General features: G+C 46.7%; 2 long non-coding RNA genes across 2 annotated transcripts in view, besides 1 other annotated feature; one reads left to right on the forward strand and one right to left on the reverse strand.

Annotated features, from left to right (window-relative positions):
- The window catches only part of SOX1-OT (SOX1 overlapping transcript), a 135,706-nt gene that overhangs the window by 31,742 nt on the left and 86,878 nt on the right, over positions 1-17,086 (forward strand). The gene's annotated exons all lie outside the window — the stretch shown is intronic.
- Positions 7,662-8,205: an enhancer, noted in NCBI's record as "H3K4me1 hESC enhancer chr13:112666027-112666570 (GRCh37/hg19 assembly coordinates)". NCBI's record gives its function as "activates a minimal SCP1, AML or CMV promoter by ChIP-STARR-seq in naive H9 embryonic stem cells {active_cell/tissue: H9 hESC(naive)}" and the evidence as "EXISTENCE:reporter gene assay evidence [ECO:0000049][PMID:30033119]".
- LOC105378193 (uncharacterized) lies at positions 9,920-10,897 on the reverse strand. The gene is made up of 2 exons (XR_007063876.1): positions 10,812-10,897; positions 9,920-10,212 (listed from the first exon to the last, which is right to left on the reverse strand). It is a non-coding gene; the product is annotated as an uncharacterized LOC105378193 (long non-coding RNA).

The raw sequence follows: 17,086 nt of genomic DNA on the forward strand, positions 1-17,086 counted from the left end.
GTATGGTGGTTTCACATTTTATCCATAAGGGTGGTTATTTTAGAAATGTGCTAAATCTAATTAGAATGTATTCTATGTGTACATTGCCAAGAAAACCAACCACCAGCACAAAGCCCCACCCACCAGCCATTTGTTGCCCGATTTTATTCCAAAGGAGACAGGATCAATGTTAGGGCAGAAGATTGGGTGCCAGACTCAGGACCAAAACCAGACTATTTTCCCTGGGAAGCAGCTGGTGAGAAGAATCCGTGTACCCCTGCCCTGGGCACTGACCCCATGAGTTGGTGCCCTGCTGTGCTCTGTGCTCTCCTGTGCCAGCCGTGCCCATGCGTGGGCCGCCAGGCTCACCATGATAATTTTTGCGAAGCTCAGGGGCCCACTGGGCTTCCTAAAGAGACCCTTCCTAGTGTTGTACATCTGGGAAGGCCGGTCTCACCATTCATGTCTGCATCTCACGGTGGGTGTGGTGTGAATCAACACCGAAGAAAATGAATATTATAGGTGGGAAAATGAGGAGAACCCCCAAAACCTATACTACTGTTATAGCTAAAGATTTAAGGGTCTCTTCAAAACTAGACAAATGCAAGATAATGATTCACCACATACATCCGTAGTCAGGAAGAGACAGGGCAACCTGTGCGTGCATCTCAGCTCTGCCACGTAGCAGCTATGTGATCCTGGGGAAATTATATAACCTCTCTGAGCCCTTGCTTCCTCGTCTGTAAAATGAGGACCATGATGCTCATAGGCTTTTATAAGGATGAATGGAATGGTGTGCCTGGGAAGAGAGCTTAGCTCTACTGATCACCAATTGACTGTGCCTGGTCAATAATCGATGATCAATAAATGGCAGCAATAGGTCTCCTTGCCGCCTTTGGAGACCATAACATGTGAATCCCAACTTTCCCCTTGTCCTCACTTTGCGGCGAAGTACTACTGAGGCAAGCAGGGCCAGCTGACGTCCCGGCGCTTAGGGCAGGGCAGGGAGCCCTGCTGCCTCTCAGACCCTGCTGGTCCGGCAGGCCATGGCTGCCCCACTCCCTCCACTCACTGCACAGCCTGGAGACAAACACCTTCTGACAGGGGGCTTCCAAAATTCCTACATCACAGTGGCAGGACCGGCGCAGAGGAAAAAAAGTCTGATAGCGCAGCACTTCCCAGAGATCACCATGTTGTCCTCTCTCCTTTGGGTCTCTAAACACAGTATTTTATCAGAAAACCATCAATATGGGCTGCTGAGGAAGGGGCCACTGGCCCCTGTGCTCTGTAGCATGTTCTGGAGGGCTGGCAGCAGGCACCCAAGGAGAGAGCCTGAGCTCCATCACCGTGGGCGCCAGTGTGAGGCATGTGTTCACCTGTGGGCAGAAATCTGTCTCAGCCCTGGAAAGAAGAATGTATGCTTCCAATTTTTCTTTTAAGTTTCTTTACTGTGAAACATTTCAAACATATGCTAAAGGAGAAAGACTCACATGATGACCTCCCCTGAGCCCATCAGCCAACACAATTGTTAACAATTGGCCAGTCTCACTTCAACATGGCCCCTTTCACGTTTTACCCCTGCCAGGTTGTGAAGCTGATCCCTGGCCTCATCGTTCATCAGCAGTAACATTTCAGTGTTTCTCCCTAAAAGATCAGGGCTTTCAGAAAACATAAGCGGTATGACTATTGCACCTAAAAATTAACAGAATTCATTAGTGATTTCTTGGATATGATACCAAAAACATAAACAAAAGAAAAAATTGATAAACTGGACTACACCAAATTTAGAAACTTTTATGCATCAAAGGATATTATCAGCAGAGTGAAAGGGCAACATATGGAATAGGAGAAAGTATTTATAACTCATATAACTAATAAGGGATTAGTAACCAGAATATATAAAGAACTCCTACAGTTCAACAACAAAAACAACAAAAAACCACAACTGATTAAAACATGGTCAAAGGATGTGAATAGACATTTCTCCAAAGAAGATGTACAAATTTCCAATAAGCACATGAAAAGACGCTCAACACCATTAGTCATTAGGGAAGTGCAAATCAAAACCACGATGAGACACAGCCTCACATCCACTAGGATGACTATTATCAAGAAAAAAAAAAGAAGACAAGAAGTGTTGATGAGGAGGTGGAGAAACTGGAGGACTCGTACACTGTTGGTGGTGATGTAAAATGGTGGCACTGCTACAGAAAATAGTTCAGCATTCCTCAAAAACTTGAAAATAGAATTACCATATGATCCAGCAATTTTACTTTTAGGTGCACACTCAAAAGAACTGTAAGTAGGATCTTGAAGCAACAGCTGTACCCATGTTCACCACATCATTATTCCCAGTAGCCTAAAGACAGACATTACCCAGTGGCCCTCAGTGGGTGAACGATGTGGTGTATCCATACAATATTATTCAGCCCCCAAAAGGAAGAAAATTCTGACACGTGCCATAACACTGATGACTCATGAGGACATTGTGCTAAGTGAAACAGGCCAGCCACAAATGACAAACACTAAACGAGTGTTTGAGTCCACTCACATGGCGTCCCTCAAATAGTCACATTCTGAGAGACAGAAAGTAGAACAAGGCTGGGTGCAGTGGCTCACGCCCGTGATCCATGCATTTTGGGAGGCCGAGGCAGGAGGATCACCTCAGATCAGGAGTTTGAGACCAGCCTGGCCAACACGGTGAAACCCCATCTCTACTAAAAATACAAAAAACTAGGCAAGCGTGGTGGCAGGTGCCTGTAATCCCAGCTACTCAGGAGGCTAAGGCAGGAGAATTGCTTGAAGCAGGAGACGGAGGTTGCAGTGAGCAGAGATTGTGCCATTTCACTCCAGCCTGGGCAACAAGAGGGAAACTCTGAGAAAGAAAGAAAGAGAGAGAGAGAGAAGGAGGGAGGGAGAGGGAGCTGCCAGGGGCTGGCAGGGAGGGGGAGGGGGAGGGGGAGTCAGTGCTTGGTTGGGACACAGTTCCAGTTTGGTGAGCTTCAAAGTTCTGGAGATGGGTGGTGACAAAACACAATGGGACTGCACTTAATGCCACTGAACCGTACACTGAAAATGGTTAAATGCTAAATTTATGTTACATATTGCCACAATTTTTGAAATAAAAAATTTATAAAATGCAATAATAGTATCAAATATCCAGCCAATGTTTACAATTTCCCAATTGTCTTATAAATGCCTTTTTGTCCCCACTGGTTTGTTCAAATCGAGATGCAGCAAGGCACACAGGTCTCACGCGGCTGGTGTGTCCCTGACGATTCTCCTTGCCCCTGTTGCTCGTTTGTAGAAGAAATGAAGTCATTTGCCTGCACAGGTTTCCATCCTCTGCATTTTGCTAATCACATCCCCACCCACCATCCTGGGTGCTCTCTGCACACCCATCCCTGTTTCTTGAGCAAGGCTTCCCCGTAGGATTTCTGCAGGGGTGCGAACATCCCACATCTCTGTCCATGCAGTAGCCAACAGCCACGTGTGGCCATTGAGCCCTCGAAATGTGGCTGCTGCAGCTGAGGCACTGAGTTTTAATGTAATCTAATTATAAGGGATTTGATTTTAAATACCTTTGAAAAGCCAGTTCCAGGGCAGCGCAGGCCTAGAGGCATGACGGGACTCTAGCTCTGCCTTTTTCCATCCAAGAAGCATTGTGATGGGTCATTTCCTCTGTTGACATCAGATCTGCCTCCCGATGACGCTAGGCTACGAGCTGATGCTGGAGTCCCTCCTGGGTGGGAGGTACGGTCGCTGGCCATTTGTGTGTCCTGTTCATGCTCACAGCCCATCTCTGGGCATCTGGTTGTGAAGTCTCCATTGCACAGTTGAAAAGCAGAGGTACAAGACATTAAAACGCACATGCCAATCAGTGCTGGCGACAGCATCAACCCAGGCTGTCTCACTCCAGCCCCATGCTCTCAGCCGCTGCTCTCCTGCCTGGTTTAATCTGGTTTCCTCCCAAAGTGCTTATCTTCAGTGGCCCACCAGCAAAACCAGGGTCTTCTTGCTTTATCATCATTTATGTCACTCTCATAATTTCCTGAAGTTTGGAAGTAAACAAAAGTCTTAAAAATGCCTCTTCCCTCTTTCTCTCCACATCTACCCATTTCCCCAGCCTGCTGTTGGACTAAAATTCTGATATATGTTAACATTGACTTTATTGTTACCAGCCATCTGTTCTGTTAAAAAGAAAATCAACTCCTCAAGATTTTCTTATAGGCATAAGTGGATTGATTGATTTTCTTTTCTAGTCATTTTGCTTTGTTTTAAATGAGGGAACTGACAATCATGAAAATTTTAGCTAGCGCTCGTGCAAATGAGGTAAGCTGCTAGACCGCTGCCACCAGTCCACTGTTCTTGGGCAATGTGCTGCTTTGGAAACCCCAGCTGAGCATGTGCACAGCATCAGCAAACAGACAGGGGTTGCATGTGAGGGCTCACAACTGTCTCCTTGGAGACTTGACATTTGGTGCAAAAAGCAAAATGGCTTCACACGAGCTTTAGCTCTCACCTGTACATGTTCAGAAAGCAAAAAGCAGGCCCTTCTTTTCATGAGCAGTGGCCATGTGGCACCATGTCCCTCAGAAGTACATTCAAGCCCTGGCACGGTGCTGTCCTAACACTGTGACCTCAGGCAAGTCATGTCTGCTTCCTGAACCTCGGCTTCCTCACCTGACAAGTGGGTATCATGTGCTACACTGCAGTGTTTATAATGCTGCATCCCAGGAAGGACAGAGACTGTCTGTAGGTGAGGGGAGATGACAGGCTTGATTCTGCAGAAGAAGAATGTTACTGAAGCAAACAGAAAGGCCTGTCCAGCAATAACTAGCTCAAGTGGCTTCATCAAAGGAAATGTTCCCCTGTGCAGAGGGTCAGGTAGGGCTGACGGCACAGCAAGGAGGCAACTCAGGGTGGTCCCCACCTCCACGTCAGGAGCAGGGGGCTGTCAGCACGGAGGAATCTAGGCTGCCATGCAGCAGGTATCTTTGCAGTGGGAGAACCTCATGGTGTCACGGGCTGACTCTGCCTCTAAAATTCCTATGCAGAATTTTTAACCCCCAGTATCTCCGAGTGTGGACTTGTTTGGAGATAGGATCTCTACAGAGGTAGTCCAGGTAAAATGAGATCATTTCAAAGCATTCCTCAAAAGAAGACATACAAATGGCCGAAAGCATGGAAAATGTGCTCAACATGAGTGATCAGAAAAGTGTAAATCAAAATCACAATGAGATCCCACCTCACACCTGTTATCATGACCATTATCAAAAGGACAAGACATAGCAGGCGCTGGTGAGAATGTGGGGAAGGGGAAGCTCATACACTGTGGCTGGGAAGGTGAATCAGGACATGCAGCATTTATGGAAACAGTGTGGAGGTTCCTGAAAATGTCAAAAATAGAACTGATATGATCCCCTGTCCCACTAATGGGTGGCAGCCAAAGAAAATGAAATCAGTAGCTCAGGGAGATATCTGCACCCTCGAGTTTGTTGCGGCATGGCTCACAATAGCCAAGGCGTGTGCTGTGGTCTGAACGCCTGTGTCCCTCCAAAAGCCACGCACTGGAACCTAACACCAGGGTGACTGTGTGAAGAGGTGGGGCCTTCTGGGAAGTGATTAAGTCATGAAGGCTCTGAGCTCAGGAATGGGATCTGTGCCTCATAAAAGAGGCAGAAGGCAGCTGCCTTGCCCTCCAGCCACGCGAGGATACAGCCACGGGACTCCAGTCACAGAGCAGAGAGCAGCCCTCGGCAGACTCCACATCTGCAGGTGCCTTGGTCTTGACCTTCCCAGCATCCAGAACTATGTGAAATAAATTTCTACTGTTTATATTAATAAATGACCCCGTCTCAGGTATTTTGTCATAGCAGCCTAAATAGACCCAGATAACATGGAAGCAAACTAAGTATCCGTGAACAGATACATGGATAAAGAAAACGTGGCATCACATGCAACAGGATATTATTCAGCCTTAAATATGGATAGAAGGCCATGTTGTCACTCGCAACAATGTGGATGAAGCCGGAAGACATCATGCTATGTGAATAAGCCAGGCACACAGGGACGGGTCCTGCATGACGCTGCCTCTATGACCCGTTTAAAACAGTCCAACCCACAGGAGCAGACAGCAGCACAGTGGCCACCGGATCCAGGATGAGGGAGATGGGGAGACGCTGGGCGAGTGAGCTCATCACGGTGCCTAAACAGTTCACAGTGCCATGTCACACACTGGAAATTGGCCCAAGAGAACTTCTTCAGTGTTCTCACCACCAAAAAAAGAAAGAAAATGTTAACTGTGTAAGGAAATGGATGTGTAAATTAGCTTGATTTTGGTGATGATTTCACAATGTATATTAAGATATCAAATTATACACTGTGAATATATACAATTTTTCTCTGTCAGTTATACCTTAAGAAAGATGGAGGAAATTAAATAAATAAAATGAGATTGTTAGGGTGGGCCTAAGTTAATAAGACTAACGTCCTTCTCAGAAGAGGAAGTGTGGGCAAGTGCACGCGGGGAGAAGGTCTCTTGAACCTGGGGACAGCTACTTGCAGCCAAGGAGAGGTCTCCGCAGCAACACCCTGCAGACACCTTGGTCCTGGACTTCCAGCCCCCAGCACTGAGCGACAATCAAGTCTGCTGTTGAAGCCATGTAGTCTGTAGCACTTTGTTACAGTGGCCCCAGGGAGCTTACGGTGGCCAAACCAGAGAGGACGCCTGGCTTAGAACACAAGTCAGACCTGAGAGAGCAGTTTGCATAAAAAACTTTCGGAGATCGGGTTGCTGCTCCTGCCCCCGACCCCCTGCCTGGCCTCAGGCGCAGCCTCTGCCACCCCTGCTCCGCCGATACCCCTGGGTCCCAAGACCTGTGGCTCAGCCTGTCCACTTCCTCCCCACCCTGTGCAGCTGGCAGCCAGCACTAGTCCTTCTGCCAGAGCCCCAAGATTGGCACAGCCTGGGTGGTTCCTGGGGCCCAGCTGCACTGCAGTCCCTGGGGCCCAGTGCACATGGCAGCCCCTTGCTGGCCCTGGACTCACGGCCCTGAGGACTGCTGAGCCTTGGACAGCCCCTCTGCCCAGGCCTGGCCCCAGCCCCAGCAGCGAGCAAAGCCCTCAGCGAGTGAATGCACCCGCTAGAAACATGGCCCACCAGCGTCTGCTGGAGGAGGCCTCACGGACAAATCCATGGGAGTGGGCCCAGCCTGCTCAAGTCTGGGGCCTCCAGGCACAAGCCCCACAGCCCAGGTCACCCCTGGATGGAGTCCCCAGCCTAACTTTCTCTTTGCCCACCATGTCACTCAAATCACCCTTATACATTTTTCTCTCCTTCCATCTTTGTTTCCTTCCTTTTTTTCTGGGCTGGAGTGCAGTATGCATGATCTCAGCTCACTGTGACCTCTGCCTCCCGGGTTCAAGAGATTCTCCTTCCTCAGCCTCCCAAGTAGCTGGGATTACAGGTGCCCACCACCACGCCCAACTAATTTTTGGTATTTTTAGTAGAGACAGGGTTTCACCATGTTGGCCAGGCTGGTCTCAAACTCCTAACCTCGTGATTCACCCGCCTCGGCCTCCCAAAGTGCTGGTGTGAACCCCCGCGCCCGGCCTCTTCTCCTTCTTTTTGCCTTAAAGAATATTAGAGACTCGCCGGCTTGGCATGGTAGCTTACGCCTGTAATCCCAGCACTTTGGGAGGCCGAGGGGGGGTGGATCACAAGGTCAGGAGTTCAAGACCAGCCTGGCCAATATGGTAAAACCCCATCTCTACTAAAAATTCAAAAATCAGCCGGGCGTGGTGGCAGGCGCCTGTAGTCGCATGTACTCGGGAGGCTGAGGAAGGAGAATTGCTTGAACCTGGGAGGTGGAGGTTGCAGTGAGCCAAGATCACGCCACTGCACTCCAGCCTGGGTGACAGAGTGAGATGCTATCTCAAAAAAAAAAAAAAGAATATTAGAGACTCCCAGGTAACAAGACTGTGTCTTATTTTCCTTCGGTGCCCTATAAAGCAGGGTCCTCAGAAACACTTACATTGATGTTTACCTTGCTGGTCAGATGTTTACCTTGCAAAGCCCTGGCACTCCAGGCAGAACTGGCCGTGCCTAGTGGCCAGCGAGGTATGGCTGGAATGCGGCTGGTCCCGGCGCTTTGCCTCCCTGCAGAGGTCCTGTGTGGAATACGTCCCCCTGCGAAGCAGCCAGGCCCCAGCTTCCCCCACCCGTCACCCTCCTCCTCAGCCCGAGGTTTGCCCACTGCCTCCCTGCGTTCCCCGGAGTGTTCACGGATCAGAGCTCGTGGCTCTCGGTCAGATCTAGAGTCTGAGGTTGAGGGAGCTCGGTGCTGGTGCCGAGTGGAGCGAGACTGTAACAGAAGCCCCTCAGGCAGGGAAGCATCTCCCATTTGTGCAGAAGCATGATTTTCTTCAGCCTGTGGCATGTGATCTTGACGTCCGTGCCACTCTGGGGGCTCAGAACGGTCTGTGCCATGTCTTCATGCAGCGGTGGAAAATGCCCCATCTGAGTCCCTAATGACGTGCGCCTATGGACAGTTGTTCCTTGACCACCCAAAGTGGGACACTGTCAGAGCCAAGACACAGGTGAAGACTGAAACGCGAGCCTCCATGCGGGGAGAATTTCAGCACCTTTAGTTCTCCTGAGGAGGGTGAATTAGCCTGGATCAGCGTTGGTTTTAGTGATTTTTGTGTGGGGTGCATTCGTGATTTCGGAAGCACAGCCCCTTTAAACACCATGCCTCCCACGTTTGGTTTCCTTGGGTTTGGGCCCAGATAACTCCTGTGCTGAGTGCGGGGCCTGTCCCAGAGGTGATGCCTGCCCTCCTCCCGCAGCGAGGACCCACAGGCCTCACCTAATTTGCAAGAGGGCACCTCGTTCCCCAGGGTCCAGGGCTGTACGGCACTCAGAAGGTGGCTCACCAGAGTCTTCCTCCTCCTGCCCCCCTCCAGTTCCAACGATGAACCTCAGAGGGATTCCCCTGTCAGAGGGTATGTGATCCTACAGAGACGCTGTGCCTCAAAAGGCTCACTACAGTACATCGGAATGTCCTCTAGAAGGTTGTAGAAGATTCCACTTGTGCGGACAGGCAAGAGCTTGGAGAACACATCCAAGATATTTCCTCAGAGTGGCAGTTACCTAACGAAGAGGTTCTTAAAAGAAAGGGGTCCTAATGCTTTATGTAGGATCTATGTTATCGAGCAAAGGGGTTTTCCAGAACAAATCGACCCAGCCTCCCATGAAGTGAGTGTGAAACTGTCTCTCTTCTAAAGATTCACAAGAAAAGATTGTGGCTTTCCTGGGAGACGGCGTACGGACAGGACAGGAGTCAGGGAACGCATGGTCACCACAGCAAGTGCAGCCATCCCCCTTATCCTGGGGGTGACGTTCCAAGACCCCCAGGGGACACCTGAAATGGTGGATAGTACCAAGCCCTACAGACACGATGTTTTCCCTATGCAAACACCCCCCGATACAGTTTAATTTATAAATTAGGCACAGTAAGAGATTAGCAATAACTAATAATAAAATAGAATAATTATACCAATATGCTGTTCCCAATTTCAGAGATAGAAGATTCCATCTGACTGGACATCTTGGCATCCTGAGCTTACCTTTTTTTTTTTTTTTATTAAGTCGAGAACTTCACTTTTCACTTAAAGGGGCACCTTCTGGCTTCTCTTTGGTGTACCCACATTGCCAGCCTCACTGCTCTTGTGCTTTGGGGCCATGATGAAGTCAAATGAGGGTTCCTTGTACTCAAGCACTGCGACCCCTGGACCGTGGATCTGATAACCAAGAGGCCATAAGAGGGGCGGGGAGCGTCCGCAGCCTGGAGACGCTGGACGAAGGGAGGGTTCAGTCCCGGGAGGGACCAAGCGGGCGGTGCCAGATTTCACCACGCTCCCCAGAAGGGTGCACAAGTTAAAACTTGGGAATTGTTTATTTCTGGAATTTTTTTTAATTTAATATTTTCTGACTGAGGTTGTGACCGCAGGTAATTGAGAGCTTGGAAAGCAAAACTAAGGCTAAGTGGAAATGACTATTCTTCCTTTCCCCGGAAGTGGGGTTGTTGCGAGTTCCTAAACCACCACCTGATTCTTCTGCTTCCACTTCATCTCACGCACTCGCCAGGAGCCCCGGCTTCAATCCAGCGCCCCACATCATCATTCCACTGAGGAAACCTCAGATCCATAGCCTTTCGCGTCTTGTGCTTGCTTTAAAGAAAAAAGTAAAAGGCCTTTCAAATATTTTTAAGGAAGAATGAAGTTTTAAAATTACATCAAATGCATCAACTTATGTGCAAACCAAATGTCTGCATTTATACATTCTAATCAGAAGTTGATTATCGTGGTCATTGACCTACCCTGGAAGAGGCGGTTATTTTCCACCTATTTAAGGCCACACATGCTTCCTGAGCATCAAACACTTTGCCGCTTTGTTTGTTGCAATAGAATATGACTTTATTGACTATAGCCCTCATGCAGACGTTAGGTCTCTAGACTTACTCTTCCTGTCAATCTTCCACTTTGAATTCATTGACTCACTTCTCCCCGTCCGCCCTGGCATTGGAAACCACTGTTGTATTCTCTATCTCTGAATATTTGAACTGTAATTTTTTAAGGGTTCCACATATAAGTGAGATCACGCATTACTTTTCTGTCTCTGGCTTACTTTGCTGAGCATCATGTCCCCCAGGTCTATTCAGGTTGTGGCAAATGGCACAACCTCCTTTTCTAAAGCTAAATACTGTTCCATTGTGTATATAGACCAGGGTTTCTTATCCCTGGCACCCTCAGTGTTGACAGACACTTACGCTATTTCGGTATCCTGCCTACTGTGAGTAACGCTGCGGTGGTCACAGAAGTGCCCACTGGGAGCAATGCTGCGGTGGTCACGGAAGCGCCTACTGGGAGTAACGCTGCGGTGGTCACGGAAGCGCCCACTGGGAGTAATGCTGCGGTGGTCACGGAAGTGCCCACTGGGAGTAATGCTGCAAGGGTCACGGAAGTGCCCACTGGGAGTAATGCTGCGGTGGTCAAGGAAGCGCCCACTGGGAGTAACGCTGCGGTGGTCATGGAAGTACCTACTGGGAGTAACGCTGCAAGGGTCACGGAAGTACCTACTGGGAGTAACGCTGTGGTGGTCACGGAAGCGCCCACTGGGAGTAACGCTGCGGCGGTCACGGAAGCGCCCACGGGGAGTAACGCTGCGGCGGTCACGGAAGCGCCCACGGGGAGTAACGCTGCGGCGGTCACGGAAGCGCCCACGGGGAGTAACGCTGCGGCGGTCACGGAAGCGCCCACGGGGAGTAACGCTGCGGCGGTCACGGAAGCGCCCACGGGGAGTAACGCTGCGGCGGTCACGGAAGCGCCCACTGGGAGTAACGCTGCGGCGGTCACGGAAGCGCCCACTGGGAGTAACGCTGCGGCGGTCACGGAAGCGCCCACTGGGAGTAACGCTGCGGCGGTCACGGAAGCGCCCACTGGGAGTAACGCTGCGGCGGTCACGGAAGCGCCCACTGGGAGTAACGCTGCGGCGGTCACGGAAGCGCCCACTGGGAGTAACGCTGCGGCGGTCACGGAAGCGCCCACTGGGAGTAACGCTGCGGCGGTCACGGAAGCGCCCACGGGGAGTAACGCTGCGGCGGTCACGGAAGCGCCCACTGGGAGTAACGCTGCGGCGGTCACGGAAGCGCCCACTGGGAGTAACGCTGCGGCGGTCACGGAAGCGCCCACTGGGAGTAACGCTGCGGCGGTCACGGAAGCGCCCACTGGGAGTAACGCTGCGGCGGTCACGGAAGCGCCCACTGGGAGTAACGCTGCGGCGGTCACGGAAGCGCCCACTGGGAGTAACGCTGCGGCGGTCACGGAAGCGCCCACTGGGAGTAACGCTGCGGCGGTCACGGAAGCGCCCACTGGGAGTAACGCTGCAAGGGTCAGGGAAGTGCCCACTGGGAGTAACGCTGCAAGGGTCAGGGAAGTGCAGGCTGTAAGAGGTGGTGATTTCATCTTCTTTGGGTCTATCGCCCACTTGCAGAAAAGCATGTTTCTTCAGCCTGTGGCACATGATCCTGATTTCCGGGCCAATTTAGGGGCTCAGGAGGGTGAGCAGAGCACACAGAACATGGACTGCTGGGTCATATGCTAGTGCAATTTTGTAATTCATTTAGGAACCTCCATACCGCTTCCCATAAGGGCTATACCAATCCACATTCCCACCCAGTGTGTACCAGGGTTCCCTTTACACTCTCGCCAACATTTGTTACCTCCTGTCTTTTTCAAAATAACCATCCTGATGGATGCCAGGTGGTATCTCATAGTGATTTTAAGTTGCTTGCTTCTGATGATTAGTGAGATTGAGCACCTTTTCATATACCTGTTGGGCATTTTTCTGTCCTTTTTAGAGAAATGTCTGTTCAGGTTCTTTGCCTGTTTTTTAAATTGGGTACTTGTTTTTCAACTGTTGAATTGTATGAGTATTTATAAGTTTTGTATAAATTAACCCTTGTTTAGGTATGTGATTACCAAATGTTTTTTCCTTGTCAGTAGGCTGCCTTTTCATTTTGTTGATTGATCCCTTTGCTGTGCTGAGGTTTTTTAGTTTTAGGTAGTCCTATTTATTTCTTTTTGCTTTTGTAGCCTGAGCTTTTGGTGCAATGCCCAAAAAAATAATGGCAATGCCAATATCCAGAAGGTTTTTCTCTATGCTCTCTTTTGGGAACTTTATGGTTTCTGGTCTTACGTTTAAGTCTTTCATGCATTATAAGTTGATTTTTGTTAACTATGTAAGATAAGGATGCAATTTCTTTTTTTTCTTTGTGTGTGTGTGTGTGTGTGTGTGTATGTGTGGTAAAAAAAAAAACCCCCACTGGAAAGCCAGTGTTTCCAGCATCATTGATTGACAAGACTTTCCTTTCCCCTTTGCATCCTCTTGGTGCTCTTGTCGAAAATTCACTAACCATATTATATTTGGATTTATTTTGGGGCCCTTCATTCTGTTCCATTGGTCTATGTTTCTGTTTTTATTCCAGTATGATTCCTATAGCTTTGTAATATAATTTAAAATCAGAAAAATTAGCCAGGCCTGGTGGTGGGCACCTATAGTCCCAGCTACTCTGGAGGCTGAGGCAAGAGAATGGCATGAACCTGGGAGGTGGAGCTTGCAGTGAGCCGAGATCGTGCCACTGCACCCCAGCCTGGGTGGCAGAGAGAGACTCCATCTCAAAAAAATAAATAAATAAAAATAAAATCAGAAAGCATGACACCTCCAAATTTGTTTTTATTTCTCAGTATTGCTTTGGTGGTTCAGGTTTTTTTTGTGGTTCCACACAAACTGCAGGATTGTTTTTTGTTTCTGTGACGAATGCCATTGGAATTTTGATAGGGATTGTGCTAAATCTGTATATTGCTTAGTAGCATGGACATCTTAACAATATTAATTCTTCCGATCCACAAACAGGAGATATCTTTCCATTTATTTGTATCTTCTTCAATTTTTTTCATCAGTATTTTATAGTTTTCAGTGTAAATCTTTGACCTCCTTGACTAAGTTTATTCCTAAGTATTTTACTTTTTGATGCTGTCATAAATTGAATTGTTTTCTTGATTTCTTTTTGAGCTAGGTTGTTATCTGTGTACATAAATACAACTGATTTTTGTATGCTGATTTTGTATCAGATGCTGACTGCAGGAGCAATCAGACAAGAAAAAGAAATGAAAGGCATCCACATTGGAAATGAAGAAGTCAAGTTATCTTTATTTGCGGATGGCATGACCCTATATATAGGAAACCCTAAAACTTTTTTCTTTTTTCTTGTCTGATTACTCCTGCAGTCAGCGTGTCTGATTGCTCTTCCAGTACTATGTTGAATAGACGTGGCAAGAGTGGGCATCTATGCCTTGTACCAGATCTTAGTGGAAGTGCTTTCAGTTGTTCCCTGTTGATTATGATGTTAACTACAGGTTTAAGGACCTTTCCTTCTGTACTTAAACCATTGAGAGTTTTTATCAAGAAAAGATGCTAAACTTCGTCAAATGCTTTTTTTGTGTCACTTGAAATGATCCTGTGGTTTTTTATCTTTCATTCTGTTAATGTGACATATCACGACGTATCACATTGATTGATTTGTATGTGTTAAACCAGCCGTGCATGCCAGAGATAAATCCCACTTGGTCATGATATGTAACCTTTGTGGTGTCACATTGGATTTGGTTTACTAATATTATATTGAGGATTTTTGCATCAATGTCCATCAGAGATACTGACCTGCGGCTCCCTTTTGTTATACTGTCCTTGACTTAGGTATTAAGGTGGTGCTGGCCTCATAAAAGATATTGGGAATTATACCTTTCAGATCTGTGTTTTGGAAGACTTTGAGATGTGTTAGTAATACTCCTTCCTTGGATGTTTGAGGGACGTCAGCCATGAAGCCATGTGGTCCTGAGTTTTTGTATGTTGGAAGGTTTGTAATTACTTTTTCAATCTCTTTGTTATTGGCCAAGCTTTCTATTTCTTCATGATTCAATTTTGGTAGGTAATTTTCTTCTAGAAATTTATCCATTTTCTTTAGGTTACCTAATTTTTGGCATATAATTGTTCATAATAGTCCCTTATGGTTTTTTTTTTATTTTTGCGGTGACTCCATTTTATTTTCTGATATTATTTGAGTTCTCTCTCTCGCTCTTTCTCTCTCTCTCTCTCATCTAGCTTATGGTTTGCTAATTTTGTTTATTGTTTCACAGAACCAACTATTGATTACATGAACTTTTTCTATGGGTTTTCTGTTTTCTATGTGATTTATTTTTGTTCTGATCTTTATATGTCCTGCCTTCTGCTAACTTTGGGTTCAGTTTTTCATCTTTTTCTAGTTTTTTGAGGCATAATATTAGCCTATTTATTTGGGATCTTTCTTCTTTTTAATGTAGGCATTGTTGCTATAAACTTCCCTCTTGCTTTTGCTGCGCCCCAGAGGATTTGATATGTTAAGTTTCTACTGTCAGTTGTCTCAAGGTATTTTTTAATTTCACTTTCAATTTCTTCTTGGACCCACTGGTTGTTCAGGAGCATGTTGTTTAGTCTTTACATATTTATGAATTTTCTGAGATTCCTCCTGTTATTGATTTCTAGTTTTACACCACTGTGGTCAGAAACAACACTAGATACAACTCCAATCTTCTTAAATTGGTTCTGTCAGGCTTTAGAATCACCTAGATCAATGCATGAAGATATTCTCTCTCTAGCTCACACAGCTCGCCATCCTACATAAGGAGCCCCACTCTAGCCACAGGAGGAGAATGCCATGAATGCCAGCTCCTTGTTAATCCCATGAACTTCCCAAGTTCCCATGGATTGCCACTCTGTACAAATTAGAAATAATAGTTCATAGTGCTTATACCCAATAAATAGACTCAGATATGCATAAAGCCTCAAACACAATAGAAAGGGACTTCCATTTACATAAGATGATTGAAATGACAAAATCACAGAGATGGAGAACAGATTCGCAGTTGCCAGGGGTTAGAGAAAGGAGGAGGAATCTGTGTGGGATAAGGGAGAAGCCCGAGAAACCAAGTTCTCTATCTGGATTGTGGTTGTGGTGACACAAAGATACACACAAAATAAAATTGCATAGAGCTATGTAGACATGCACATGTGTGCAAACACACACATACATCCATGAGAGCCTATATAACTGGCAAAAACTGAAAAAGCCCTGTGGATTTATCACGTTCAACTTCCTGGTATTGATAATATACTGTAGTTACGCAGGGGACCTCCCTTTGCATTTCTTTGCAACTTTCTGTGAATCGGTAATGATTCCAAAATAAAATATCAAAAAAGAGTGATGAAGACAGAGGGCTCTTCCAGGACATAAAGTATGAGAGGGTTTCATCTCAGGAAGACTATCATATTCTTTTATGTTTTCATTGAGGCCAAACATACTATACATCCTGTAGAGTCTCAAAGTGCATGAATTGTAGATGATTGCTGGAAATGTCTGCACGGGATGAGACCCCAGTAGCCACCGGCACTTTACAAAGCTTCCCTCCTGCCCCTCCCCCTCATTGTCACTCCCCTCAAAAAAAACCCACTGTGCTCACTCCATGGCTAATGATTCGTTTTCCCTGATCTTGAACTTCATACATGCAGAATCAGAGTGTGCAGAATCAGGCTCACCCATGCCTGGCTTCTTCAACTCAGCATGTTGGAGATTCATCCGTTGGTTTAATGTAATAATCATTTGTTCTTTTTTATTCCTCACTTGTGTTCCATTCTAAGAACATACCACAATTTACTTAGCCATTCTCTTGTCAACACGTTATTTGTGTTATTTTCAGTTGTTTGTGCTCATTTCTCTTACATAAATCCCCGGGTTTAGGAGGGATTATCTTAGCTTTGTAGTAAATACAGGGATATCTCATTTTATTGCATTTTGCAAATATTACATGTTTTAAAAATTGAAGTTTTGTGGCAGCCCTGCATCGAATAGGTCTTTTGGCTCCATTTTTCCAACAGTATGTGCTCACTTTGTGTCTCCATGTCACATTTTGATATTTCTTGCAATATTTCAAGCTTTATTATTATTATTATATCTGTTACAATGATCTGTGATCAATGATCTTTGACGTTACCACTGTTAACTATTTTGGGGCACCATAAACCATGCCCATACAGGAGCAAACTTAATAAGTGTGTGTATTCTGACTCCTCTACGACAGGCTGTTCCCAGTCTCTCTCCCTCTACTCAGGCCTCCAAATTCCCTAGAGCAAAACAATATTTAAAAGTGAAGTCACTTAATAGCCCAACAATGGCCTCTAAGTGTTCAAGTGAAAGGAAGGGTTGTACATCTTTCACTTTAAACTAAAAGCTAAAAATCATTGAGCTTAGTGAGGTTTGACATAAGCTTAAATAATTCAGCTAACGTCAAAAGCCGAGATAGGCCAAAAACTAGGTCTGTGGCACCAAACTGCTAACCAAGTGGTAAGTGCAAAGGAAAGGTTCTCGAAGGAAATGAAAAGTGCGAGTCAGCGAACACAGGAACGCTTATCATTCAAAACACACTTACTGCTGATATGGAGAAAGTCTGA

The sequence above is a fragment of the Homo sapiens genome, chromosome 13 (assembly GCF_000001405.40).
Source record: "Homo sapiens chromosome 13, GRCh38.p14 Primary Assembly".
Classification (NCBI taxonomy): domain Eukaryota; kingdom Metazoa; phylum Chordata; class Mammalia; order Primates; family Hominidae; genus Homo; species Homo sapiens.